Source organism: Homo sapiens, chromosome 2 (genome assembly GCF_000001405.40).
Source record: "Homo sapiens chromosome 2, GRCh38.p14 Primary Assembly".
Taxonomy (NCBI): domain Eukaryota; kingdom Metazoa; phylum Chordata; class Mammalia; order Primates; family Hominidae; genus Homo; species Homo sapiens.
The window spans coordinates 79,843,817-79,868,768 of NC_000002.12; the positions used below are offsets into that span (position 1 = coordinate 79,843,817).

Here is a 24,952-nt window from a genome sequence, read left to right on the forward strand (position 1 = left end):
AAATTACTCCAACTCCAACTCCATAATGTGTAAATGACAAAGAATTAAACAACCATGAGTGTTTGCTTAAAAAAAAATCCATGTTAGCTTATTAATCCTTATTGTAATGTCATACAGAGTAGAATGCGAACATCAGCAGGCTAGGTTATTCTCTCTATAGGCAGACCTATGTGGGAAGTTAAATTGTACTCCCAATGTGAGTTTTTAAATTTGTAGTGAAAAATATATTTGCCTAGGGACTGTGTACCTACGTTCACTGGCAGGTACAAACAGTGCAATTTTCAAGTCATTTATAATGATTTTCTCATTTTCCTTTAAAGGAAATAAACACTAAGAAGCACAGAATGGGGCTCCCTTTTCTTGGAAGCAGCCTGCAAGAGGCAGGAAGACCCTGAGACTGCCAAGATAATCTCAGAATGAGTCAAGATTGAATTGTTAATACACCAAAGAATATCCAAAAAGTCTGAAAATACAGGAAAAATTGATTCTACTTATTTTCAGTTTAACAATAGGATCCCTGCTTTATATTTTGATGTACTTCATAAGAATAGTGTCTGGAGATTGAAGGAAAAAATATGGAGCATATTATTTGAAAATTTAACTAGCTTTGAAATAAATAATTTTGTCCAATATTTCCTGACGTTTTGGATACTCTACATTATTTTGTCTGAGTTAGTGGGTCACATTTCCAGTAGTAGGAGACAAAAGGGTAAAATTCACTGACTTCCTGTGATCTTCATTCTTTCGTTTATTACTGTACATCTCCCTCCAACTTCATGCAACTGGTGTGGTAAGTTGGGGCCTCTTGGCCTCAGAAATCCTGTTAGAAGTAAAATGGGGCCCAACAGAGAGGGACCTTTGGCCCTAAAGCCCGCTTTTCATTTAGGTCTTAATGTTAGGAGGTTAGAGATGCCTTGAACTTGAACTATTGATGCAGGCTTGCTCAATATGAGGCCGAAGGACTGCTTGATGATCAGCAGTGTATTTTCCTGGGACATTTTCATCTATACTCTGTCTTTTAGAAACTCATCTATACTCTTTGTCTTTTAGAAACTTAGCCAGGAGTGTGGGCTGGGGAGTGGGCTGTGTGTGACTGATCTCTGCCATCTCTCAAAGTCATGATTAAAAGCTGCCATGGGAGGGATAAAGAATGAAAACAAACTACACACACACACACACACACACATATATTTGTGTGTATCTGTATATACATTGTGTATATATATTTGTGTGCATTTGTGTGTGTGTGTGTATATATATATGTGTATATATATATATATGCACCCTTACCTTTTATGATAACTGACTAAGTACCCCCTACATACTCATGATTCCCAACTCCCTAAACACAGCTGCTTTTTTTTTTTTTTTTTTTTGAATTTCTAAATGTCCACTTAGGGGGCATTTCTCTATAGTTGTTCTGCAGGTGATTCTTGTTAGTGGGTCTTTCAGAACCATCAAGCTGGAAGTAAGTAGGGCAGAAATTGTGACTTCATGTTGAATATCTAGGACCTAGAAAGTGTCTGCTACATGGCAAGTGCTTAATAAATGCTTATTGAATAAATAAAAGGATGAATGAAATGATATATAATTATATACTTTGTACACAAGCACACATATAGCTATGTTCATATCATCAATGGTGCGCACTAAGAGAGTAAGGACAAGATGTCACTGCTATCCAAATCTCCCAAATTTCCCTCACCCTTAAGGCTGCATGTCAGGCTGTCGGAACATTTTTTTCCCTTTCAAGGTTGATGTTTGTTTTAACTTTATTTTACTTATTTTAAAAATGTATTTTTGAGTTGGAAGGAGAGAAGCCCATCTGAGATTCATCATGACCCTAGTGACAAGCTATTGATCACAGGAGTGAAGAAAGCTTTGATAGCACATTTTGGCAGTTTGTCATATTGGATTTAGGGTTTTTAGTTACCTTAAATCAATTTCGTTCATTACCCATTGTCAGATCTTCTTGCTGCACAAATATATTTTTATTAGCTGTGTTTTATTATGGTTTATACACTGATATTCATTTAAATGTTATGTCTTCTTTAAATCCTCTTAATATAGGAAATAGAATGGTGGTGACGTGGGGACCTCCCACAGTTTAGTAAAGAGGCCTTGTGGCTATAATCGCATTTAAGAAACGACCATTTCTCTGTGAAGAATGGAAAATCAGTGGTAGGTCAGAAATTAAAGGCTATGCCATTTAAATCCTAAAACCTGATCATTCTAGTCTTTTCACCCACAAGCCAGTGAGGAAAATCAGTTTTCCCCACGTTGCATTTTAAAATATAACTTAATTGAGCTGTAATTTTATAGCATCATTTACCATGTTCATGATACCAATTACTTGGAACATTTTTTCTAGTTTTGAAATATGTGGTAGAATTTTCTATCTTTAATCAACTTTTCTCATTCTGAGAATTGTTCCTGTGCTTTGTTTAGCCAAAGACTCCTTTAGAAAAAGCTAGATTGACTTCTTATTTTACTGTGTAGCAATTTCAAGCCTGGTTTATTTAGCTGTAGTCTATAAGATGCAAATTATAAAATGTGCCTTTTTTATACTTCTCATTTGCTTTTCTCTCCGATTGTATTTTAGTTGATATGAAATCAGTGATGCGAGTATTATTCAAGTATTATTCAGTTTTACTAATGAAAATTTGGAGATGCCGTAATGACTTACAAATACATACACATAAGTGGAGTATCAAGACATCCAAACTGATATACAAAGGCTTCAACTATATGGACTAACTTGGGGACAGTAAGTTGTGAATTTGTGAAACTGTATCAGAAACAGAATATTTCCTCCAAAGTATATGGAACTGCAGCAAATACAAATATCAGAGTTGAGAGACCCAGCTTCTGGTCTGGACTGTGCCCTTAGTTGATTATTTGAGCTTGAGAAAGCCATTAAAGATTTTGATAGTTATTTTCTGAAATTCAGACATTGAGTTCCACCAATGAGCTCACAGTTAATGTCTTTCAAATATATGTAGTAATTTAGATACTGAAATAGCTCAGAGTAACTTGTGACTGTTTTAATTGTTTTTATAACAAGCTAGAAACCAGATCTATTTCTTCCAAAGCAGATTAGAAATATCTTTTTATATGTACATGTTAATTGGCTTAAAAAGTAGTGTGGGAACAAACAAATCATCTTGACTTGAATGATTAGTAGATATTTAATATTTGGAAACCTGGAGAGAGTTGTTTGCTCATTTTTTAATGTCAGTTGTTCTTTTTATAATGCAACCTCAGCATTAGTTCTCAGGCAATGGCTAATGAGCATTCATCTTGACATTTCCCTTCTTAAAGGACATTTAAACAAACTTCCCAAGATCTACCCTATAGAAGAGAAGATTATATTTTTATGTGTGGTTCAGAAGAGCGTATCAAAGACCAAATAGAAGAAAAAAATGTTAACAATTGAAGCTATCACAGGCAGGGTGTGGTGGCTCACGCCTGTAATCCCAGCACTTTGGGAGGCTGAGGCGAGTGGATCACAAGGTCAGGAGTTCGAGACCAGCTTGATCTATGTGGTGAAACCCTGTCTCTACTAAAAGTACAAAAATTAGCTGGGTGTGGTGGCATGTGCCTATAATCCCAGCTACTCAGGGGGCTGAGGCAGGAGAATTGCTTGAACCTGGGAGGTGAAGGTTGTAATGAGCTGAGATCATGCCACTGCACTCCAGCCTGGGTGACAGAGTGAGACTCTGTCTCAAAAAAAAAAAAAAAAAAAAAAAAAAAAAAGCTAGAACAAATTGGAGTGGTTTCCTAGAAAGACAAAGCGTTTTTTGTCCTAGAGGTCACACCTGGATTTTGCATCTGTTAAAATTTCATCTGCATGATGCCCTCCAAGGTATTGTTAAAGTCTGGAATTTGGACATTAAATCCATCCTCTGTACTCTGCATTTCCTTGTACAGTATCTTAAGGAGCATGAGGAAATCAAGATGTCCTTTACATATCCATGTCAAGATGTTGATTCTGAATGCTGCCGTCTCTTTGATTCAGAATTAGATGCTAGCATGTTTGATGCTCGCGTTATCTCTGCTTGTCCAATCTAGATGGAAGTTGTGGCATTGATTCTTGTTTTCCTAATAACATTAGAAGGTTTTTGAAGTCACACTTCAACTACCAAGTACTGTAGCAGGGTACTGACATTTCAGTGCGTTTTGATTTGTGTCATGGTTGTAGGAGAATACAGGTACTGATCAATAGAAACATTTATTGACTTAAGAATATAAATAAGTCAGCAGCATGATTTTTATAGAGAGACTTGACTTACTTATTGAAATTTGGGGTTTATAGAAAAATTAATTTATTGGCTGCTTATATGCTTTACAAGATAACTTACAATAGGTTTTCTTTAGTATATATACGATATAGTGTCCTTATTTCAGAAATATATGTGTTGCACAATGAAATTTACATTCCATCAGTGTATCTTCCCTTTATGTGTAAAAATATTGAACAAAATTGAGTTCACTATTGGTCCTCTATATGCCATTTTTCTCTTAAGCTTAGATCATCACTGTTTAACGTTTCCTAATTTATGGTCTTCTCTTGCATTCAAGGCCAAAACAATAATCACCTTTTTATGGAATGTGGCTATTGCTACATTTAACAGGTCTTTGCAAGGTTCTCATTTGTGAAGTATGCCATATTGCGGCTTCATAATCTTTCTGGCTACAACAATGTAAAATTACCCTACACCCTCTTCTCCCAACCCAGGAAAAGGCTACAGCTGAAATAATTAAAATCCATACGGTTAATGATCTGTGCCTTCTGCAAGGTGGCGCATTACTGTCTCTAACGATGTTTAATAGCTCATAACATTCAATACACTTAATCATTAGTTACTGACATTTCTAGTACTTTTGCATACTGAACATATCTTGATAGGGCAAATATTACATTGGAAAAGACTTAATTATGTACCTTGGGAAAGAACACTGACCAAATGAGGACACATTTGGAGCTGCTCTTGCCACTGAATTAGGGTTGTCACAGAACCATGTGGCTATAGTGGGATTTTGTTAGGTGAGGAGAGTTTGATTTGCTGGTGTCACATTGGGATTTATTGGCCTCACAGCAACAATGGCACTGAGACCAGAGTCCCTGACTGGGATGTCAGGAGACAGGGATGCTGACCCCCACCAACCACCTGACCACGGCACTTGGGCTTCTGTGTCTTCATGTGTGAGATGAGAAAGGGGTGCTGAATGATGCCTGAGGAGTTTTCATCCGGATCTGAAATTCACCAGTCTCAACATCACTTCAGAGGCAGTGGCCCCATCAGACTGCTGTCATTTTGCACCTAATTTATTGTTTTCTGAGAGTTTCTGGAAAAACCTAAAGAATGATAAAGAGACCATGGAGCCCACTACCCTTGGTAGAAAGACAAAGGGACAGGCAGCCTTCTTATTTTATAATATTTACATAGTTTTGGTATGGCTTGCATGATAGGGTTTTTTTTTTTTTTAATAAGCAGATAAGGCTTTCTTCTGAATACTGCTTATTTAAGCCAAATATTATCTTGTTTTTTGATAACAAGACCTGAATAGTACCAAGCACTGCTGTAACTGCTTGGTGCTTAAAGTGTCCACAGGAGGTAGCTTATTTTAATGCAGATTCTGCTTGAGAAAAGACAGGACTTCAGCATCCCTGAGCCTTAGAGAAAAATTCTGATTGTTGATTGTTGACCTTTTCCCCAATCACAGATTTCAGTCATAGCCACCCTGGGGTGAAATGCATGTATAGCTCTCTCATATTCTTGATAGTTTCCAAAAAAGTGTTAAGACTTTTTCCTTCTTGCTAGCAAAGGCCTATGTGGGCAAAACAGAGGAGAAGCAAAGGAGTTGCTCCTTTCACTAGAACTTTCCTTTAGCAAATGTTTTGGTTTCCTTGCTACTTCCTGAACTTAGAAATCCAACTAAAAGTTCAAACATGAAAAAGAAGAAAGTATTTCAATTATTTTATTGTAGAGTGTATAGCATCTGGGATTTCATTTGTCTTTTCTCCCTGCTTCAGTATCAATTCAATATGGTTCAAAATGTAAAGTGCCAGGCAGGCGTTCCTTTCCTCCTCTCGACAGCATTCCTTGAGGGAATATACCTTGTCAACCGATGTAAGGTATGATTAAATAAATTAATGTGCTACAATTATGATTTCTTCACTGATTAAGCTTACAGGTCAAGGAAGGAGGGAAAACTCAAATGCATGCATGCACAGGGAGTCACAAATCATCCCTAACATGTGACAATAAGGAGTGGTGGAGGCTGGGAATAATTGGAGAAGTGTCTTTGTTTAGGTCCTTGTTCCTTCCCTTCCTCCCTCCTACCCTCCCTTCCTCCATCCTTCCCTCTCTCCCTTCCTTTCTTCCTTCATCCCTCCCTCGCTCCCTCTGTATCTCTCTCCCTCTGTTTCTCTCTCCCTCCCTTTCTCCTTCCCTCCTTTTCTCCTTCCTCCCTCCCTCCCCCCTCCCTTCCTTTCTTCCTTCATCCCTCCCTCCCTCCCTCTCTCCCTTCCTTTCTTCCTTCATCCCTGCCTCCCTCCCTCTGTTTGTTTCTCCCTCCCTCCCTTTCTCCTTCTCTCCCTCCCTCTCTCCCTCCCTCCCTTCCTTCCTTTCTTTCTCCCTTGCTTGCTTCCTTCCTTCCTATACCCTGTAAACTGAATAACATAATTTACTAGTCTTCAACTCCTAATACAGGTGCAGACAGACATATGTAAACAAATAATTTTCACAGAGTAAACAGGATGTTAAAATAAAGATATTTCTAAAGCACTGGTTTTAAGAGGATAGACCGCAGAGCCAGACAGATTTTGAATGCCTACTTCACCACTTACCATCTGTTTGACCTTGGGCAAATAACCTTAATAATCTTTCTTTTCTGTGTTCAGTTTCCTCAGATAGAAAGGGTGACAATGAGAACACTTCCTTCATCAGATTCTCTTCAGTAGTAAAAGAGTTGATACAGGTTAAGCTCTTTGAGCAGAACTTGGCACATTGTGAGCTCTTAAAAAGAGAGCTATTATTATTATAGATGAAAGAGTTACATGCTAAAATATTAAGTCCAGATAGATACAGCCTAATGAGATCCTAAAGTGGAAGGAATCTTGGACCACCCTGCTACACCACCCCCTTGCTGCTGGAACCATCCCAGAAGAAGACATTCCTATGTTTGCAAATGTAGTTAGAGCAGAGGCCCTCAGCCACATCAACACCTGCTTACCTCATCTTTTCAACACATTATCCAACTCTGCCTGATTCTTATCAAAGAACCACTCACTTATTTCTTCCAAGAAAAGGAGCCAAGAGGCATGATGTAATGCATCAAGATCTTCTGTGGTGACCTTGTAACTTCTGTGGTGTTGTCCACCTTGGCCATTCATTTAACATTTAAGTTTGTTTTGTCTCAAATGAAGATATTTTCCCACCTTGCTTTGAAAATGAGCTGACCAGACCTGTAAGTGGTTTTCAAGTATTACATTGCCTTACAGACTCTACAAAATAATCAAAATGATAAAATGTTCTGAAGTTGGACATTGTTGACTGAATTACCGTTTTAAGATTCTGTTATGTATTTTCCTTCACAGTCTCTGTAAGTGTGTGAGCTCAATCGGGATGCACAGTTTGAGTTGCAGAACTGGCTAAGGCTTTGGGAACCTGTGGTCAGTTTCCCTCACTAATGTTGCTTTCCTCTCTAAAAACATGTTTTAGTTTCTGCATTGCTCTACAAGATCCGTTTTTCAGAATCCTTTAAGATCTGTACTTCATGGAAAATACATGTGAAAAAGGTTGTTAGGCAGGTGTCGGTTATCATGAAAAGGGAACAAACTGGTTAAGAGGATTGGAAATTTTTGCCCTTTTTCTCATCCTTTTTTTTCTTTTTCTTTTTCATTTTTTTCTTTTCCTTTTTTTTTTTTTTTTTTTTTTGAGACAGAATCTCACTCTGTCGCCTAGACTGCAGTGCAATGGTATGATCTCTGCTTACTGCAACCTACGCCTCCCAGACTCAAGCGATACTCCTGTCTCAGCCTCCTGAGTAGCTGGGATTACAGGTGCCCACCACCACAACTGGCTAATTTTTGTTTAGTAGAGATGGGGTTTCACCCTGTTGGCCAGACTGGTGTCAAACTCCTGACCTCAAATGATCTGCCCGCCTCAGCCTCTCGAAGTGCTGGGATTACAGGTGTGAGCCACAACACCCGGCCTTCTCTCATCTTTTCTAAGAATTCTGTAATACAGGGAGAAATATAAAAAACATGAACTATCAGTATATGTTGGATAATTTATGTAATTAGATAAAGGATAATTACGCATTTAGACAAAAGATGATATGCAGTTGTAGCTATTATGTGTGAAAACTGCTGGTTAAAAACATATGCATACAGAACTGTCTAGAAGCTAGCTCATCGGATGTTGTCCTTGGTTATTAAGATGTGAATGCTCTTTTGGCTTCTTTTAATTGTATTTTTTTAGTTCTCTTAAGGAGCACATATTTATTTTATAGCAAAAATGTTGACAATGTAAATTACCATGGAAGGTATAGGAAATACATTGCAATTCCTTTCCCTACGTGGCTTTTCATGTCTTAATCTGCTCTTATTCTGGCTGTTTCATTACATTTGCTCTGTGGTTTGCCTTTTTCTTCATTTTCATTCTCACACTAGTTCCAGTTTTCATCATTTGATTCCAGGGAGTAAGTCCAATACTTGCCATTGCTGAAAGAGTGAAAAGAAAAGTTTTTTTGTTTGTTTTGTTTTGAGACGGAGCTTCACTTTTTTGAGACGAAGTCTCACTCCGTCACCAGGCTGGAGTACAGTGGCACAATCTCTGCTCACTGCAACCTCCGCCTTCCGGGTTCAAGTGATTCTCCTGCCTCAGCCTCCCAAGTAGCTGGGACTACAGGTGCACACCACCACGCCTAGCTAATTTTTGTATTTTTAGTAGAGACAGGATTTCACCATATTGGCCAGAATGGTCTCGATCTCTTGACCTTGTGATCCAACCGCCTCAGCCTCCCAAAGTGTTGGGATTACAGGCGTGAGCCACCGCGCACAGCCGCAGTTTAACCCTCGTTTCCCGGGCTGGATGCAATGGTGAAATCTCGGCTCACTGCAACCTCTGCTTCCTGGGTTCAAGCAATTCTCCTGCCTCAGCCTCCCTAGTAGCTGGGACTACAGGCACCTGCCAGCACGCCTGGCTAATTTTTTGTATTTTTAGTAGAGACACAGTTTCACCATGTTGGCCAGGCTAGTCTTGAACTCCTGACCTCAAGTGATCCACCCACCTCAGCCTCCCAAAGTGCTGGGATTACAGGTGTGAGCCACTGCACCTTGTTTTGTTTTTTTGAGACAGGTCTCACTCAGTCATACAAGCTGGAGTGGTGCAATGATAGTTCACTGCAGCCTCAAACTCCTGGGCTTAAGCCATCCTCCTGCCTCAGCCTCTAGAGTAGCAGGGACTACCCTGGCAATTTGATTTTTAAATTTTTTTTGTAGAGATAGGGTCTCACTAGGTTGACCAGGCTGGATGAAAAAGACGAGTTAAATCCTCTTCAGCCTCTAAGATCATCAACAATTCTGAGGTTTTCATTTTCTTCACCCAGCACTCTTTGAATCTTGCTTTTCACCACACATTTTTCCTTGCTTCTCACAGTTTTTCAGCAGTTCAGTTGTCAAGCATTTAGAGTGCTGACCTTACACGCAGGCCCCTCCTTCAAGGAAAGAGCCACAGGATATTTGTGCCATTTTGGTTCATGACCTGATTCCTACCTGATGTTTTTGTTCCTAAAACTCTGCCTTCCACATGCCATACTTTTCTTTTTTCCTTTTATTATTTTTCTTTTTTTTTTTTTTTGAGATGGAATTTCACTCTTGTTGCCCATGTTGGAGGGCAATGGCGTGATCTTGGCTCACCGCAACATTCACCTCCCGGGTTCAAGTGATTCTCCTGCCTCAGCCTCCTGAGTAGCTGGGATTACAGGCATGTGCCACCATGCCTGGCTAATTTTGCATTTTTAGAAGAGATGGGATTTCTCCATGTTGGTCAGGCTGGTCTTGAACTCCCGACCTCAGGTGATCCACCCGCCTTTGCCTTCCAAAGTGCTGGGATTACAGGTGTGAGCCACCGCGCCCAGCCCATGCCATCCTTTTCTTGTGTTTATTATTACTGGCATGCATCATTCCACATTTGAATTGATCTTACCTCAAGCTGATGCACAATTATGTATTCATCCCAGTGCTTTCAGGGTAGCCTAGGAACCAGAATAAGCACTGATTTAAAAGCAGAGCACCATTTTTTTTTTATATATATTCTATCTTCAAACAATAAGTACTTTTATTGAGCATATGTTGTCTTGCTTCTAAGGAAGAAACACAAGAAGTGAAACCAACCAAAATATACACTTTTAAACCTGTAACCAGGAGATCACCAACTCTTCTTACTGCATTTTGGATGCTTGAAGTGGTTGTGATAGTAGTGGTATTAATGAATAATGATCACCCGTTATGGGTAAGGCCCCATGTTGGGTGCTTTGAATGCATCGTCTCTAATTTTAACTCTCATGGCAGTCTGTGAGGCAGCTGTCATTATTTTCCCTGTCATTTTACAGTTGACTGGACTGAAATACAAAGGTTGAATAAGCACTAGCTCACATATTTGGTAATAGTTGGGGTGGAGTCGAGATCTGAACCCAGGTCAATGTGACTTTGTTTATCCTTTTTCATCCATGAGTTAATACATGTAAAGCTTTTAGAACAATACTTATATAATAAGCCTTTATATAGAAGCACTACATACATGTTAAAATTGTTATTTTCCGTTGGTCCCTTATTTGGTAATGTTAATTTTTCTTCTTTTCAGCAGGTTGTAGTGGCTAGAGGACATCAAAGGCTTTACCGTGGAAATGTTGCTCTGAGTTAGGTCTATAATCAAGTACATGAGATTGAACAAGAATGTATATAAAAGAAGCAGGCAGATCTCTTGTACCCTCTCTTCACTGCCCCATTTCCCTCTTACACATGCATACTATTTCTTAGCGAAATATTTCAATCTTATAGAAAAAGCACTTTTCTCTACATTCCTGGGAAAGTAGCTAATTTTATCCTGATAAACTTGCTTATCAGTTTGCTTCAGTAATCTTAAAGCTGCAGGGACTAAGACCTATTAAAATTATAGCTGATTTGAGGTTGCCTTTCCTTTGGAATCCTTATCAACATGAAATCACTTGTATCTGCTTAAAATGAGCTTTTAGTTTAATTTGCTTTGAATGAAATCATCTTCTATTTATCTTAGAATAATCTCAGAATTTAGTGTGAGTTTTCCATCCAGAAAGGCAGATGGCATTTTCTAATGTGGGTCTCTCTCTCTCTCTGTCTTTCTCTTTCTTTCTCTCTCTCTCTGTCTGTCTCTTCCCTGTCTCCCTCTCACGGACATCTGCTGAGCCACTCTTGGGGTGCCTGCCGTGGGCCCCAGGTTGATTAGCTCCACCTAAGATCTCTGCACTGACACGTGTCACCCATCGGCTTTGAAGCAGTAGTGCTGACCAGATGGTTGGCATCTGCATGAAATGCCAGTACACTTCTGCCAGATGCCCGATGGTGCCGCTAAGACAGATGGAAGGAGTCGTTCTAGGCCCTCCAGAGCCCCTCGTTCTGGCAAGACCTGTCTTCTGGAATGATGTTGGTTCATTCCGAATGTTCAATCTCAACTTGAAAATATATTGGATTAGGCATGGTTCTTCAAGTAGTGCACAAGCTCCACCTGCAGGGAAGGGGTGTGACTGCCCTCTCCTCCTGGGGATCTCTGTTCTGCCAATAGCCCTACCTGAGTGACCTACTTTTAACCATGCTAGGGCTCATACCGATTTCACCTGCAGGAACTGGGATCAACCATGTAGCTACCTGGGTTCGTGTGCAGAATAAATCCCCCTTTCCCTTGAATAAGTGGATCTATTTCAACAGTAGCTGACTTACCTATTAATATCTTACACAAATTTGTCTAGCTCTACTTGTGGCACTTTTGTCAATAGTTTGTTGGATTTACCTTGGTGTATAATGTTCTTTCTACTTGCACTGTATAAAGTAGGGAAAAGGTGGCTTTCTTTCTCCCACCACACAGATATTTGCCAATGACTTTTTTTATTTGTGAGGAGGAGAGGCAAGAGGAGGAGATGTATGTAACCCTGTGGCAAGGGTAGGACACTTGGATTGAGCTCTAGGACCATACATCTTGAAAATTCATCATTGTGCCACTAGAGTAGTGAATTTTTAAGTTTCTCCCATGCTGTTGTTATATATCAAGCTATTTGTGTGTGCCTAGGCAAAAAGGCTAAGCTGGTTAGCAATATAAAATGCTTATTGTAGATGGTAGCCTCTTTTAAAAATCCAACAGTGCAATATATTTCCTTACACACCCACATTCCCGAGTATAAAAAGTATCACTGTGAGGGTTTAAATAACTACCACACTAGCTGAGAGAATTACTTTATATTCTGATCGGCCTATAAAATGGTAAGAGGTGTTTTTTATTTTTTCTTATGACTAGGACTAATTACAGGATGCACAGACTTTCCATGCTATCATTGGCTTCATTTAAATGAGCTAGATTTTGCTTAGTAGGTGAGTAGTAATCATTACTACAAAAATTGAATAAATTGTTTGATCTTGAGTTAAAAAATCTGTCATATTAACTGTACTCTTCAAGTTTATTGAAGCTTTTATACCCCTGTGTACACTCTGCTATATGAAGCTCCATTTATGGTTTCTCACAGTTTTCACTCCCCAAAGTGGATATCCACCCACTGATTTGGTTATCAGTCTCAATCCTTGTTAATTATCTCTTTGTTTCCCATTCCTGGGTCCCTTGATGCAAATATATACCTGACTCTTGTATCGTGTCAGCCCTCATCGTCAGCTTGAACCTTTTGTCTGGTCTTCACATCTAGTCAGCCCTTAGATCGGTTGGTTGTGTCACACAGATGCATTTTATACTCCCTCTCCCATCTCCTTGGTCCAGGCTCTCACCACTGCTCTCTCAGACTAAAACTGCATTTACCCTATTAACTGACTTCTCTGTCCTGGTCTTTTTCCCCTCCAGTTTATTTTATGTAATATGACTAAAATAATCTTCCAAAAATAAAAATCTATTATTGTAACTTCCCACCCTGCTGAGGGTAAAATCCAAACCTCTTACATGGTGTTCTAGGCATTACTGCCTCTCTCCAGCCCCCTTCCTCATGGGTTCTTCCAGAGAACTGCAGGTCTCTGTACTCAGCATGGGGCTCCAGGCTTCAGAGCCCACGAAGTGTTCATGCTGCCTGAGATCCCCTCCCCACCTTTGTTTTCCTGGTGAACACCTCTTTCTTTTTTGCATCCCATTAAAATGGACAGCTTCCCCCCAGTCTCACAATAAATGAGCAAATACCTCTCCCCTCTGTGTTGCCTACTTTCTTAATCTTGTCTCTTATGGCACTTAATTACTGTATTCTGATTATGTGTTGACATACCTGTTTACTCATGAGACTTTGAACTCCTTGTGCCTGGGTATTCTTAGTCAACTTTGTAATGGCAGAGCCTAGTACAGAATCTGACACAAGTGTGTGTTTAGTAAACATTTGTTTAATTGGTTTAGTTCTCTTCTAAATGTTTTCTATATTGGCAAATTGGTTACTAAGAGGATTAGAAGATTGGATCTTGGGTGCCTCTATGATGTGTTCTTGTCTGATTAGCTCAATTAGGAGTACAGTGTTAATGAGGCCAAGGTCTTAACTTTCAATTCCATGTGGAACAATTTGTACCTCGACTGTCAGTAACTTCAATGAGTTGCATGGTAAGTTGCCTGGTATCATTGGTTCCAAGGCAAATGCAGAGAGAGGATGATTAAGCTCAAGGCAAATCCATCTCAACTATTAGACAAATGGAATTAAATATACTCCTTATTGATGTGAAAAGCATGACTTCATACTTCAGTGTGAAATGAGCACCTTGTTTGGTCCACAGCACTTGTCCATGTGCACTGATGTACTTGACTTAAAGGGCTCTTTGCTGCAATAGAGGTGGCAGAAATACCACCTGGTCATCAGAGTTTTGCAATAAAAACAGTAATTGTCCATTCACAGATCTTTAGGATGGCCAGTCTCTAAGCCTCTTGTCTACCCACCTGCCTCTCCGTGTCTGTCTTCCAGGTGAGACGATGCGGATCGCCTCCTCCGAGTTTGCAGATGACCCTTGCTCGTCGGTAAAGCGCGGCACCATGGTACGGGCGGCAAGGGCTTTGCTCTCCGCGGTGACACGCTTACTCATCCTGGCGGACATGGCAGATGTCATGAGACTTTTATCCCATCTGAAAATTGTACGTATGTAGAACTTATCAAAACTTTCTTTATGTGAGTGGCAATCTTGACCGTGTGTATTACAGCTCTGGCCTCTACTCTAGATGTTTCATTGCTCACCAGATCAGTTCATTACCTACCCATGTGGTGCCCACGTCCAATTTTTTCTAATAATAAAATTATATTCAATAATATAGTCAAAGAGTTTTGTAAGACTCACTTGAATTATTATTTTTTTTCCTAAAAACTGAGAGTTTAGATTTCTCCTTACTTCCTGGAATGTGTAACAGTACATTCTTTTAGTCTACAGAGCCTGGACAGGGTGGACCTGCCTTTGTTCTATCTCAAGATTCGGAGCAATCTTGGTCCATGTGATAGTTCAGGTTGGGGTCAGCTCTGCTGAGCAGCTGACCACCTGTGCCCACCTTAGTGTGGATTACATGTTGAATATATTTTGCTATCTACTCTAGCCTTGCTCTCCTGTAGATATATGGATTTTGAATCATATATTGGCAATAAAAAGGGGCCCCATCCACAATTCCCGTGGCTAAAGTCAATCTTGTTTCACCAAGCCTGGCATCTAACATACCTGGATTGGTTCTCTGGGTGGGCACATACTTGTCCCACTAACCCATAGAACACCATTCTATGTGCCTTGCTTTTCATGGTTTCTTTTAATTCTTTTGTTTCCTAATAGAGGTGAAGCCCTGTTCTCATCACAAACTTTAATGGAATAGTGATTAAGGCTACCTCCCCAGTCCTTGACTACGGGTCGTTCTTCCATTTTTCTACTTGCTGATTGGTATCTAGTTGCAACAAGGATGGTTCAACACTTTAACAAAGATGATGTAACTTAGCTGCTTGGGAATATGGCCTCTGCTTAGAGAATCCCTACTCCATACCCTCAGTGAAATATGATTCCTGAACAATTGGCACCAACTCTGGACTGATCGCAGGGTACTTAGATGATGAGATGCAAACCACATTTTCCTTTTTGGAGAACCAACCAATTGCTCGCTTGGTTACCCCTGCTGTCCTGGGCATTCCTGGATTATCATGTTTCCTATCAGCCAATCTTCCTGTCTTATTTTCTTTATCAGTGAAAGCAGGTTATGAGGAGGGACCAGGGGAGATAGGAAATGAATAACAAGAGCGTGCTCTCACCTCACCATTGAGCTCAGATTTGTTCAGTAGGAGGAATCATCAAGAAATTACTTAAATCATAACTATTCTCTGTCAAAAAACCTTGGGCAGGATCTTTTACCGAAGGTGGCCCCAATAAAGTAGCCAAGATTTCCAAATTATGTATAAATTCTGGAAAAATATGAAAGGCCTCAAATTCCAACACCTGCAGCCTGAGCTCCGAGGTCATAAACATAAAGGTAGTGTATCTGTTTAGGGCTTCTATACAGGTCCCTGAGCAGCAGGGGACACCAAGAAACTGCTTGGAAGTTTTTTTTATTTTTATTTTTATTTTTTCCTCTCCTCCTTAGGAATGTTTCAGGGAATGGGTTCTGAAAGGCCAGGAAAGGCTCTTGAAATTGGATAAGCTGAGCAATTTGAGGAGAGTCTTTACCTGTTTCAGAGGCTGGTGAAGGGCAGTACAGTACTATAATTAACCATTTAGCTGCTGGAGTCAGAGTAACTGGGTTTCATCTTGGTTTGGTATCTACTTGCCATCTGTCTGGTAACCTACCAGATAAATCTCAGATATCTCATCTGTTAAAGTGGGGCTAATGGCAGTGGAGCCCTCAGGGTGGTGGGGAGGTTTGAATGGGGACGATTCCTGTGGAGCACTTATCCCAGAGAATGGCACAAAGTGAGTGTCCTGTCAGTGGCAGCTGAATAGGGAGTGTAAGATCACTGGAACCACTTGTAGGCTGCCACACTGGCTGCCATTCCTCCAGTCTGTCTCTGTTATATCCATCTTTTCAGTTACACAAAACTTCCTTCTCAAGCATGTTGGAAGAAAGGTTGTGTTATCTTTCCCTTACAGCCTAGTTAGTCTCCGAAGGCGATATTTTTAGATAAGTCTTTCCACAGAAGGACAATCTTCCTTTACCCCAGCAAGGAAATAATACGACTGAACCTAACAAAATTAACCTTACATCTCATATGTCATTGTTTGCTGTGTTGTGGAAGGCCCTGTCAGCAACTGTCAGGGAGTGATGATGGGCTGAATATCCTTGCTGAACTGCCTACACTCCACACTCGAGAAGTGTGATAAATCCAGGGCGATGACGCCATGTGTGGTACCAGTTGCCTCCTGCAGTCCTGCCTCTCATCCCACCTGTTTTGACCAGTGCTGTTGGCTCATCAGATCACAGAAGCCTGCTGTAATGGGGAGTCAATTGCAATCTCTTCTCCACACAGCCGAGTAAGGGAAGTTTTTTTTTTTTTTTTTTTAACGATTTAGCACAAAATCATGGAAAGGTCAACCTGGCAATATTAAGTAGTCCTGTCAGACTGTCAGTAGTAAAATTAAAAATGATTGTAGACTAAATAACACATTTGTTCTACTTAGAGTGCAGTGTCTGTAGCAAACAGCTGTGGTGGAATGTTGCTATCTTGTGGAGCAAGTGAGGAACTACAGTTTCTGGTGCCATCTGGTGTTTTCTCTCATGAACTATTGCCCCTACCCCCTAAAAGACAATACGTCAATAATTCATTGCAAACAAACATAGCACATAGTTCTACTCAGTAGTAGGGAGTATATCAGTTCTTTTGCGCAGAAGCATATCTTCTCAGGACGGATAAAGTAACGTATTGTCTGCAAGCTTCTATTTATTTGTTTTTCTGTAACTCAGGATGAAGAACATGTCAAATAGCTTTACATATTTTGATGAAGCAAGTTAGAAAATATTTACACCTTTCTCAAGGATTTTTTTAAATAAACAATGAGTTTCTTTACCACCTGGATGATAAAACATAGATGAGAAAGAAAAGAGTGACAGTTGCTTTCTAAGAAGAGTAAAGTAGTGACTCTGGTTTTCTAGTTGGGTTCAGATTGAGTAATACCCTGTAGTGAGACTACAGCCTCCTGCTGTGTTAACTGCTACATATCTCTTTTACCTTTAAGTGTTACACATAGTATTCTACTTTTTATCTTTCAGGCCATATGTCAAAATTTTATTTGTGTTCTTTCCAGATGTTAATTTTTCTCATCTCTGAGTAACTCAGAGGAACAAAGAGAGAATTACCTTTTTCCGCAGCAACTTATATTCATGTTTTTTCATCAGCAGTTCGCCAGGTTGATGAAGAATAGTCACTTGAGTAATCACAGGCAAATGTCGTTCAGCCTCTAAAAATGAGTAAAGGATTAGGAGCCCTGCTGAGGTCGTGTGGTTTGGCAGTGTGCAGGTCTTTGCATTTTGCTACTTGATAATTATGTTTAGGAACTTAAATTTATATGGCAACTGAGAAGTTCTTCTCAGATAACACATAGGTATCTTAGTTGCTCAAGTTATGCTACTTGTTCTATCATGCAAGTATTTGTGGTACTTTAATATTGAGTTCTCTTTGAGTATATATTAAAGATTCACATGACTGCAAAAGGTTTTTGCTGCTGCTGTTACTTTAAATTCAGGAGGATAGAGATAGAACAGTGGGTGACTTAGAGTTCTAGTGCCCAGTTAGCACCCAAGTGAGAATTTAATGTTCCTGAGTAAAGCTAAAGTAATCATTTACATTTCAGACACCATTTAAAAATACTGAATTATAATCAATTTTATTGTTGAAGTTGCTGACAAATGATTTCCTAGCCAGATACCTGGAATATCCTGCAATCAGTTCACATTGTCAGTGTGTTAAGTTGATATGTGGCATCCGGAATTTTAAAGGAATCCTGCATGTCAATCAGTGATCATGAAGAGGGACATTTATATTCCCTAGGCTCTGAACTAGTGTAATCAGATTATATTGTCAATTATTAGCATGAGCGATAGCAGGACACATAAACTCATGTAGATGTGTATGTCAGAGGAAACAATCACCTTTCTATCCTCAGGCTAGATCCTGGGATAATAATGTTCTTGATTATTTGATAATTTCTCTCTAGAAAATGGAATAGCAAGATACAAAATAGCAACCCTTAGTCAGCTTCTCCAGAAGTCAAGTTTCCTTAGTGGCTACCAAGGGCCAAATATAGTGCTGCTGTTCTAATGTGGGGGTGGGGGGCATTGATGAGACATGATGATCTTAACATTAACTGTGACTTTGTGAGTTTTGCATCAAACAGCCTCATGCAGCCTCAGTAGTGTATTATTTCTCAAGTCTACTTTTTAGTCCTGAAGTTCTAATGTGGCTCTTGTGTTTGAATAACAGTAGTCAATTGGTATCATAAAATAGCCTTGCCTCTCATTATAACTGCAGAAAATATGGCCCAGGTTTTTAGCATATCTTTTCTGTCATAGCTATCACAGTATTACCTTCATGCAGCTGCATTGTTCATGATTTATTTATTTATTCAGTTATACACTTAAGAACTATTTATTAGGTGCTGACCATATGCAAAACACTGTGCCAAGATGTATTATTTTAAGGGTGAATAAGACTAGGCTCCTGCCTTCAAAACCTTACAGGCTACTGGGGAGACATTAGGACATTAGCATAGAGTGCAATGCATGTTAGGAAAGGGTGCATATTGCTGTAGTCTCACCCAGATGGAAAATATAATTATGATGCTTTCTTTCATAAATAACAGAAAACCTAATTCTACCTAGTTTTTTAAAAAGGGAATATTTTGGCTCACCAAATTAAAAGTCCAGAGGTAATAGCTTCAGGCAAGGCTTGATCAAGGTGCAAAAGCATGACAAAACCAGGTTTTTCTTTCTTTCTCCTCCTTACTGAGGACTCTGTTCTCTGTAGCCCCTGATAGGAGGCCTCATAGTCTCAAAGTGCTTGCCAACCGTTTTGAAGGTTGCATGATCCTAGACTAAAGATAGCACAAAAGAGGAAATTCTCTTTCCTGGTAGCTCAAACAAACAAACAACAAAAAAAAGTTCTACAATCTTATTAGGCACAATTGGCCTCTCAGTCATGTGCATATCTCTGAGTTAATTATTTAGATGGATAACAGAATATGCTAATTTCTTAGTTAACATGGTCAGGACTCCTGCTCTTTGCTCACCCCAAGCTGGAAATGGGATCAGTTTAACCATATTGTATGGCTGCACAATTTAGGACAATAAGAGAAAGGATGATGTGGTTGGGAGAGGGAGGTCTCAAGATTGGGTCTCATTGAACTAAATGAGGTTTGCCTCTCCTCGAACCTATCGCTGGGCCTAGATTCAATAAGTCGGAGTCTCAAGTCCAAGCTGGGGGCTGAAAGTTGGGGATAAGTGGAAAGAGTTGGCCCCATCACAGAGTTGAGGGATGAATCATTCTGTCCAATGATGACAACACAACCACTCAGTCATTTAAACAGGGAACATTTAAATAATTCTTAACACTAATAGCAGTTTGGAATAACAAGGGATTAGCTCATAAGAAATGACAAGAACTCTTAAGGAATATGGGAATGGCAGATATGAGGAGAAGCTGCTACCCCTGGGGCTGGCATAGGGCACTCTAGGGAGGACCCCACCCTACCAGGCCTGAGATCCAGATGTTGTTGGAGGGTGTGGCCTTGGGTCACTTGATGACAAAGGAGTCACTAAGGTGCCACACAATATAATGGAGCTTGCTAGAAATCTGCCCTTTGGATTGTTGAGGAAAGCTGTTCATGGAGGGGTGTCTTGCTGGAGGCATTCTGCTACAGAATTGCACAGCGGGGCATACTGAGGGAAGCTGCTGGCCACCTGGTGCTGGAGAAGCTTCCTCTGCTGCAGGAGCCTGTTGAAGGAGCACACCAGAACCAGGAACCAAACCCTTTCCTCTGGCAGCGTCTATGCAACACCCTCTACTGACAAAGCTTAACATCAGGCCAACTGGGAAAGGAGTAATATTTCAGCGGCCCATCCATATTTTCATAGTGTTAGCAGAAAAGGTGAATTTGGATTTGATAGCCTATGCAGGAAAAGAGCATGTTACTGAAGGAAAATAGGGTTCTATTACCATAAGAAGGGAGATGATAGATTCAGGTCAGGCAACAGATTTTAACTACAGAAAGAGCTTTACGAACCAAGGAAAGAACAAAGGCATGAGATTAAGAGAGGAGTCTTGGAGTGTTTGAAACACCAGTGATTCTATTGTTGGTGCATAGTGGGCAAGGTGGGGAGAGGCAATAACAAAGTTGAACAGAGAGATCCAGGTTATGGACAGTCTTGGATAACATGATAATTAGTTTGCACTCTATATATAGGTTATGGGGAGCCACTGAGTAGTACTAATAATTTGATTCAGATTAGTGATTTAGAAAAATAATTTTGGTAGCAGTGTGGAGAAGGAATTAGAAGAGGAACACATAAAGAGACTGTTGAAATTATCTAGGCCAATGAATGAATGAAAAGCTGGCTAAGACAATGGCAGTGTTTATTGTGAAAAAGAGGTAGATTTTACAGATACTCAGGATATAGAGGCACAGTGAATAGAACTTGGAGACCAATCATATGGGGCAAGGCTTTAGAAACTCACCCTTTCTGAAAAATCAATGCAGCATAGCTCAGAAATTGAGTATGGGCTCTGGAGCAAACTACCTGGGCTCAAATCCAGGCTCCTACACTTACTTGCTGTGAGACTTCTGACAGGTTATACAACTCCTCTCCTCCGATTTCAGTCTCTACCGGATAAGCATAGGGAATAAGAAAACCATCAAATTCAAAGAACTGTTTTTTGGGACTAAATAAGATAGACGTAAGCCATTTAGAACACTATCTTGTATATCAGAAGAACTCAATGACACTGGTGTCATTTTTTTTTGTACAAACTGAAAATAACTTTGGAAATATATAATAAACTAAATTGTTGTGCTTTGTATAACACACTTATACACACATTTGTATAACACACATTGATGCGCTTTAAGCATCAATGACACTAGCATGTAATCATTCTTTGCTTCTGATGAAATCATTTTTTTCTTCCCTTGTTGACAAGGAAAGACACAATTTAATCAAGAAGACCAACTTAACTTTATGGGGCAGAAATATAAAGTATGATAATGCTGAGACACCAATGGCCATACCAGAGTATCTGATTAAATAAGTACAATAGTTAGATGGCGGGTCTTACATGCATTCATTCTTTCATGCATTTGGCCAACTCCTATTTCCAAGATAGTTATTTTTAAATTTCACTGTAAAAGTAGACTGTAACAAGAGATTTACATATGATCCATTAAATAGTTTTGTCAGTGTCACTTAAAATCCAGTCAACTTAGGTAACAATAGTAAACCCTGGAATGGGGTCAGTCTGTCCAAACAGAAATGATAATCATAACAGCAACGATTTCTAGTAATGGTATAGCCAGCAATTTTCTACAGGGAACCAGAACACACAGTGCAGGCAGGGATGTATCAGACTCCTCAATTCCACACTATCCCATCCCCAGATGCCGACCTTATGGTAGACTCTGCATAAATATTTAATGAATAAATGAATTATAGGGCTGCTTTATTTATTTATTTGTTTATTTATTTTGAGACGGAGTCTCGCACTGTCGCCCAGGCTGGAGTGCAGTGGCGCGATCTCGGCTCACTGCAAGCTCCGCCTCCCGGGTTCATGCCATTCTGGTGCCTCAGCCTCCTGAGTAGCTGGGACTATAGGCACCCACCACCACGCCTGGCTAATTTTTTGTATTTTTAGTAGAGACTGAGTTTCACTGTGTTAGCCAGGATGGTCTCGAAATCCTGACCTCGTGATCCGCCCGCCTCGGCCTCCCGAAGTGCTGGGATTACAGGCGTGAGCCACCGCGGCCAGCCTGCTTTTTTATGTTGAAGTAAGTAAGTACAGTTTCAACCAGGAAAATTAGACACTGATTTAATGACTATCTCAAACAATATGACACAGTTCTAGACTAAATAATAGGAGTAGACAGGCTTGCTTTAGGAATGGTGGTACAGGCTATTTTGAACAGGCCTGCGAAAAGGCCAAGATTTTAAGAGTTGTAAGTGACAAGTTCTGAAAAGAATTTCTTAACCCACTAAATTGGGAATAAATTTTAGTGTCTTCTCTAGAAGTGTCAGTCTTTTCAGCTTTATCTATGCACTGGTTATAAATATTAAGGACAAAAATACGTGGTTTAGCAAAGAGTTCTGGCTTTGGTGTTTATAAGCCCAGCCTGGTCAGCGGGAGAAGAATGCCTGGCTGTAATGTCCAAGATCATGAGGGCATTTTTAATGGGAAAGGGTATGACAGCTGCCTCTGAGGGATCCCTTTATGTCAGCTCATTAGAAATCATTTCCCAATCCAGGACATAAGTGTCTTCCAAACCTCCCCCTTATCAAAGGGCTCAGCCGTTGACACCAGTGTCCTTCTTAGAGCCATCACTAGGCAGCCCACTGCCTGTATTCTCTCTGCAGCTTTCTTTCTAGTTCTGCCAGAGCCCCTGTCATCCACAGACTTTCCAAGAGTAAGATAAAAACCTTTATCTTCAAAATTATTAAGGCATTTTTCCCCCATGCAGCAAGTTGGTGTCTCTATTTAATGAGCCCCTAATTCTTGCCATACATTTTGCTAAGCAAATGTATGATTTTGCTAATATGTATGATTTGATATTTTGCATTTCTTATCTCCTTTAATTCCCACAAAATCTGTGCATAGTGTGTAGACATTATTATCCTCATTTTATTAATGAAGACGTGAGGATTGGAGAAGTTAAATAGCTTGCCCTGGATCACAGAGCTTGCCAATGACATCGTTGGGGTTCAAATCCAGACCAATCTGACCTCATAGCCCTCCTCACACAGTTGTACTTAACATTCTTCATGGTGGGGCCCAGACAGGTGTATCTTGGTTAAAGTGTCCCAGGGTTTTCTTCTGTATCTTCTGCTCTTTGTTCAACTCGCAGTCCTGAACTCCTCCATGAACAGTAAATGTTTGAGAGCAAGGTATTTGTTTGGGCCATAGGAGTCACTTTCCTTTCTCTAGCTGCCCAGAAAGGACAAAAGATCCTTGACTGTTCAAAATCCTTGACTGTTCAAAAATAAAGACTTAATTTTTATATTAATTTTGAATTGTCAATATTGTCTGTTCACTAAACTTATTTTTTCTTCTTTTTCTACGTCCCTTCAATATTCTATCTATCTGTCTATCTATCAATCATCCATCAATCATCTATCTAATCTATCTGTCTATCTATCCTATCCATCCATCCATCTCCATCTCTCATCTATCTACTAGTAGTGTGTGCCCATAATCCAGACTTTAGTTCCATTTCCTTTATTTCTGTGGGACCTTGGACAGATTCTGCCCCGTGATTCTTTGTGAGAACTTTTAGACTTCTTAGATCCTTCTGGATTCAAACTCTGCATGTAACTTAAGTTTACCTTTACACGGAAAGACCCCATTCTTGGTGTTTCTTTGGAAAAATATTTTATTGAATTATAAGAAATTAAAACTGGCATCTAGATTCTTCAGAGAAAACCACTGAGAAAATAAGTTATGTGTAACACCGTAAAATAAGTATTCCAAATTGGTCTGATTAACAGCCTATGAGAAGCCTGTTTTATATATATTAGAAAACAAATCCAGAATTTAGCTCCCTCTGAGATAATTATTGTGCTCTTCCCTGGAACCAGTTTTTATGTCCCAAGAAGAGATTTACATCTCAAATAAGCAGCAGGAACAAATTAGCTGCCAAGAACTGTCCTTTCAAAGATGCTGTTGATAGCCAAGTTAAGATGATTATAAATCTATTAGAATGTACAACACCATTGATTTTGGTGTTTTAAAGATCTGAGGTACGAGATTCTCTTTAAACTATAACAATGTTTTAAAAGTGCCTTTCCATACCATAAAATGTAATTTGACTTGGGTGCCTAAAAAACCTGACACATGGCAGTTCCTTTTTCAACTGTACTTCCTTTTTCACATGAGCACTATTAGAGCCTAGATAGGAATTGGGAATGACTAACATTGAGGATTTACATCATCGTTTCATATTTTTATAATTAGGGAAAAAAAGAAGACGCATGCTTTCCATAGAAGATGAGAATGGAAACTTAAATTTCCCAATCCAGGACATAAACGTTATGTGGCATCTAGATTAACCTCCCCCCAACCCCTGCCACCAGTATCATTCCAAATAACTTCCTTTGCTTGCTACAACTCTTTCCTTACTAAAATGAGTTAGCCTATTTGGTAAATTGAATGGTATTACATATCTCTGGGACAAAAGGCTTGATGATATTCATTATTACTGGTTTAGATACGTATTCTCTTCCTTTGCTCAGTGCACTTGATAAGGAAGTGAAATTAGCCACCTTTGTGATTGCGTCAAGCCTCAATTAAGTTCAGATCTGAGTTAATATAATCTATGGTTATTTTCAGCCATTGTAGTTGTCATTTGTGTTTCCGAATTGTCAAACAATGCACTGTCTATATAATGCCCTTTAATTTGCCCAAAATTACAAGAGCCGATCTGAATTCTGCCCAAGTATTTTTTGCATTTCTCATTACTCTTTCTTTCAAAGCTGCCTTCTCGCTCCATTCCTCTCTCAGGAAATGGAAC

General features: G+C 39.7%; 1 protein-coding gene and 1 non-coding gene across 12 annotated transcripts in view; one reads left to right on the forward strand and one right to left on the reverse strand.

The window, feature by feature from the left end:
* The window catches only part of CTNNA2 (catenin alpha 2), a 1,463,404-nt gene that overhangs the window by 658,440 nt on the left and 780,012 nt on the right, over window positions 1–24,952 (forward strand). For all 11 annotated transcript variants that reach the window (NM_001399737.1, XM_024452714.2, XM_011532556.3 and 8 more), the window contains one exon: window positions 14,197–14,363. In NM_001399737.1, the coding sequence (NP_001386666.1) occupies window positions 14,197–14,363 (167 nt within the window). The remainder of the gene's footprint in view (window positions 1–14,196; window positions 14,364–24,952) is intronic.
* MIR8080 (microRNA 8080) lies at window positions 22,679–22,767 on the reverse strand. The gene has a single exon (NR_107047.1). It is a non-coding gene; the product is annotated as a microRNA 8080 (primary transcript).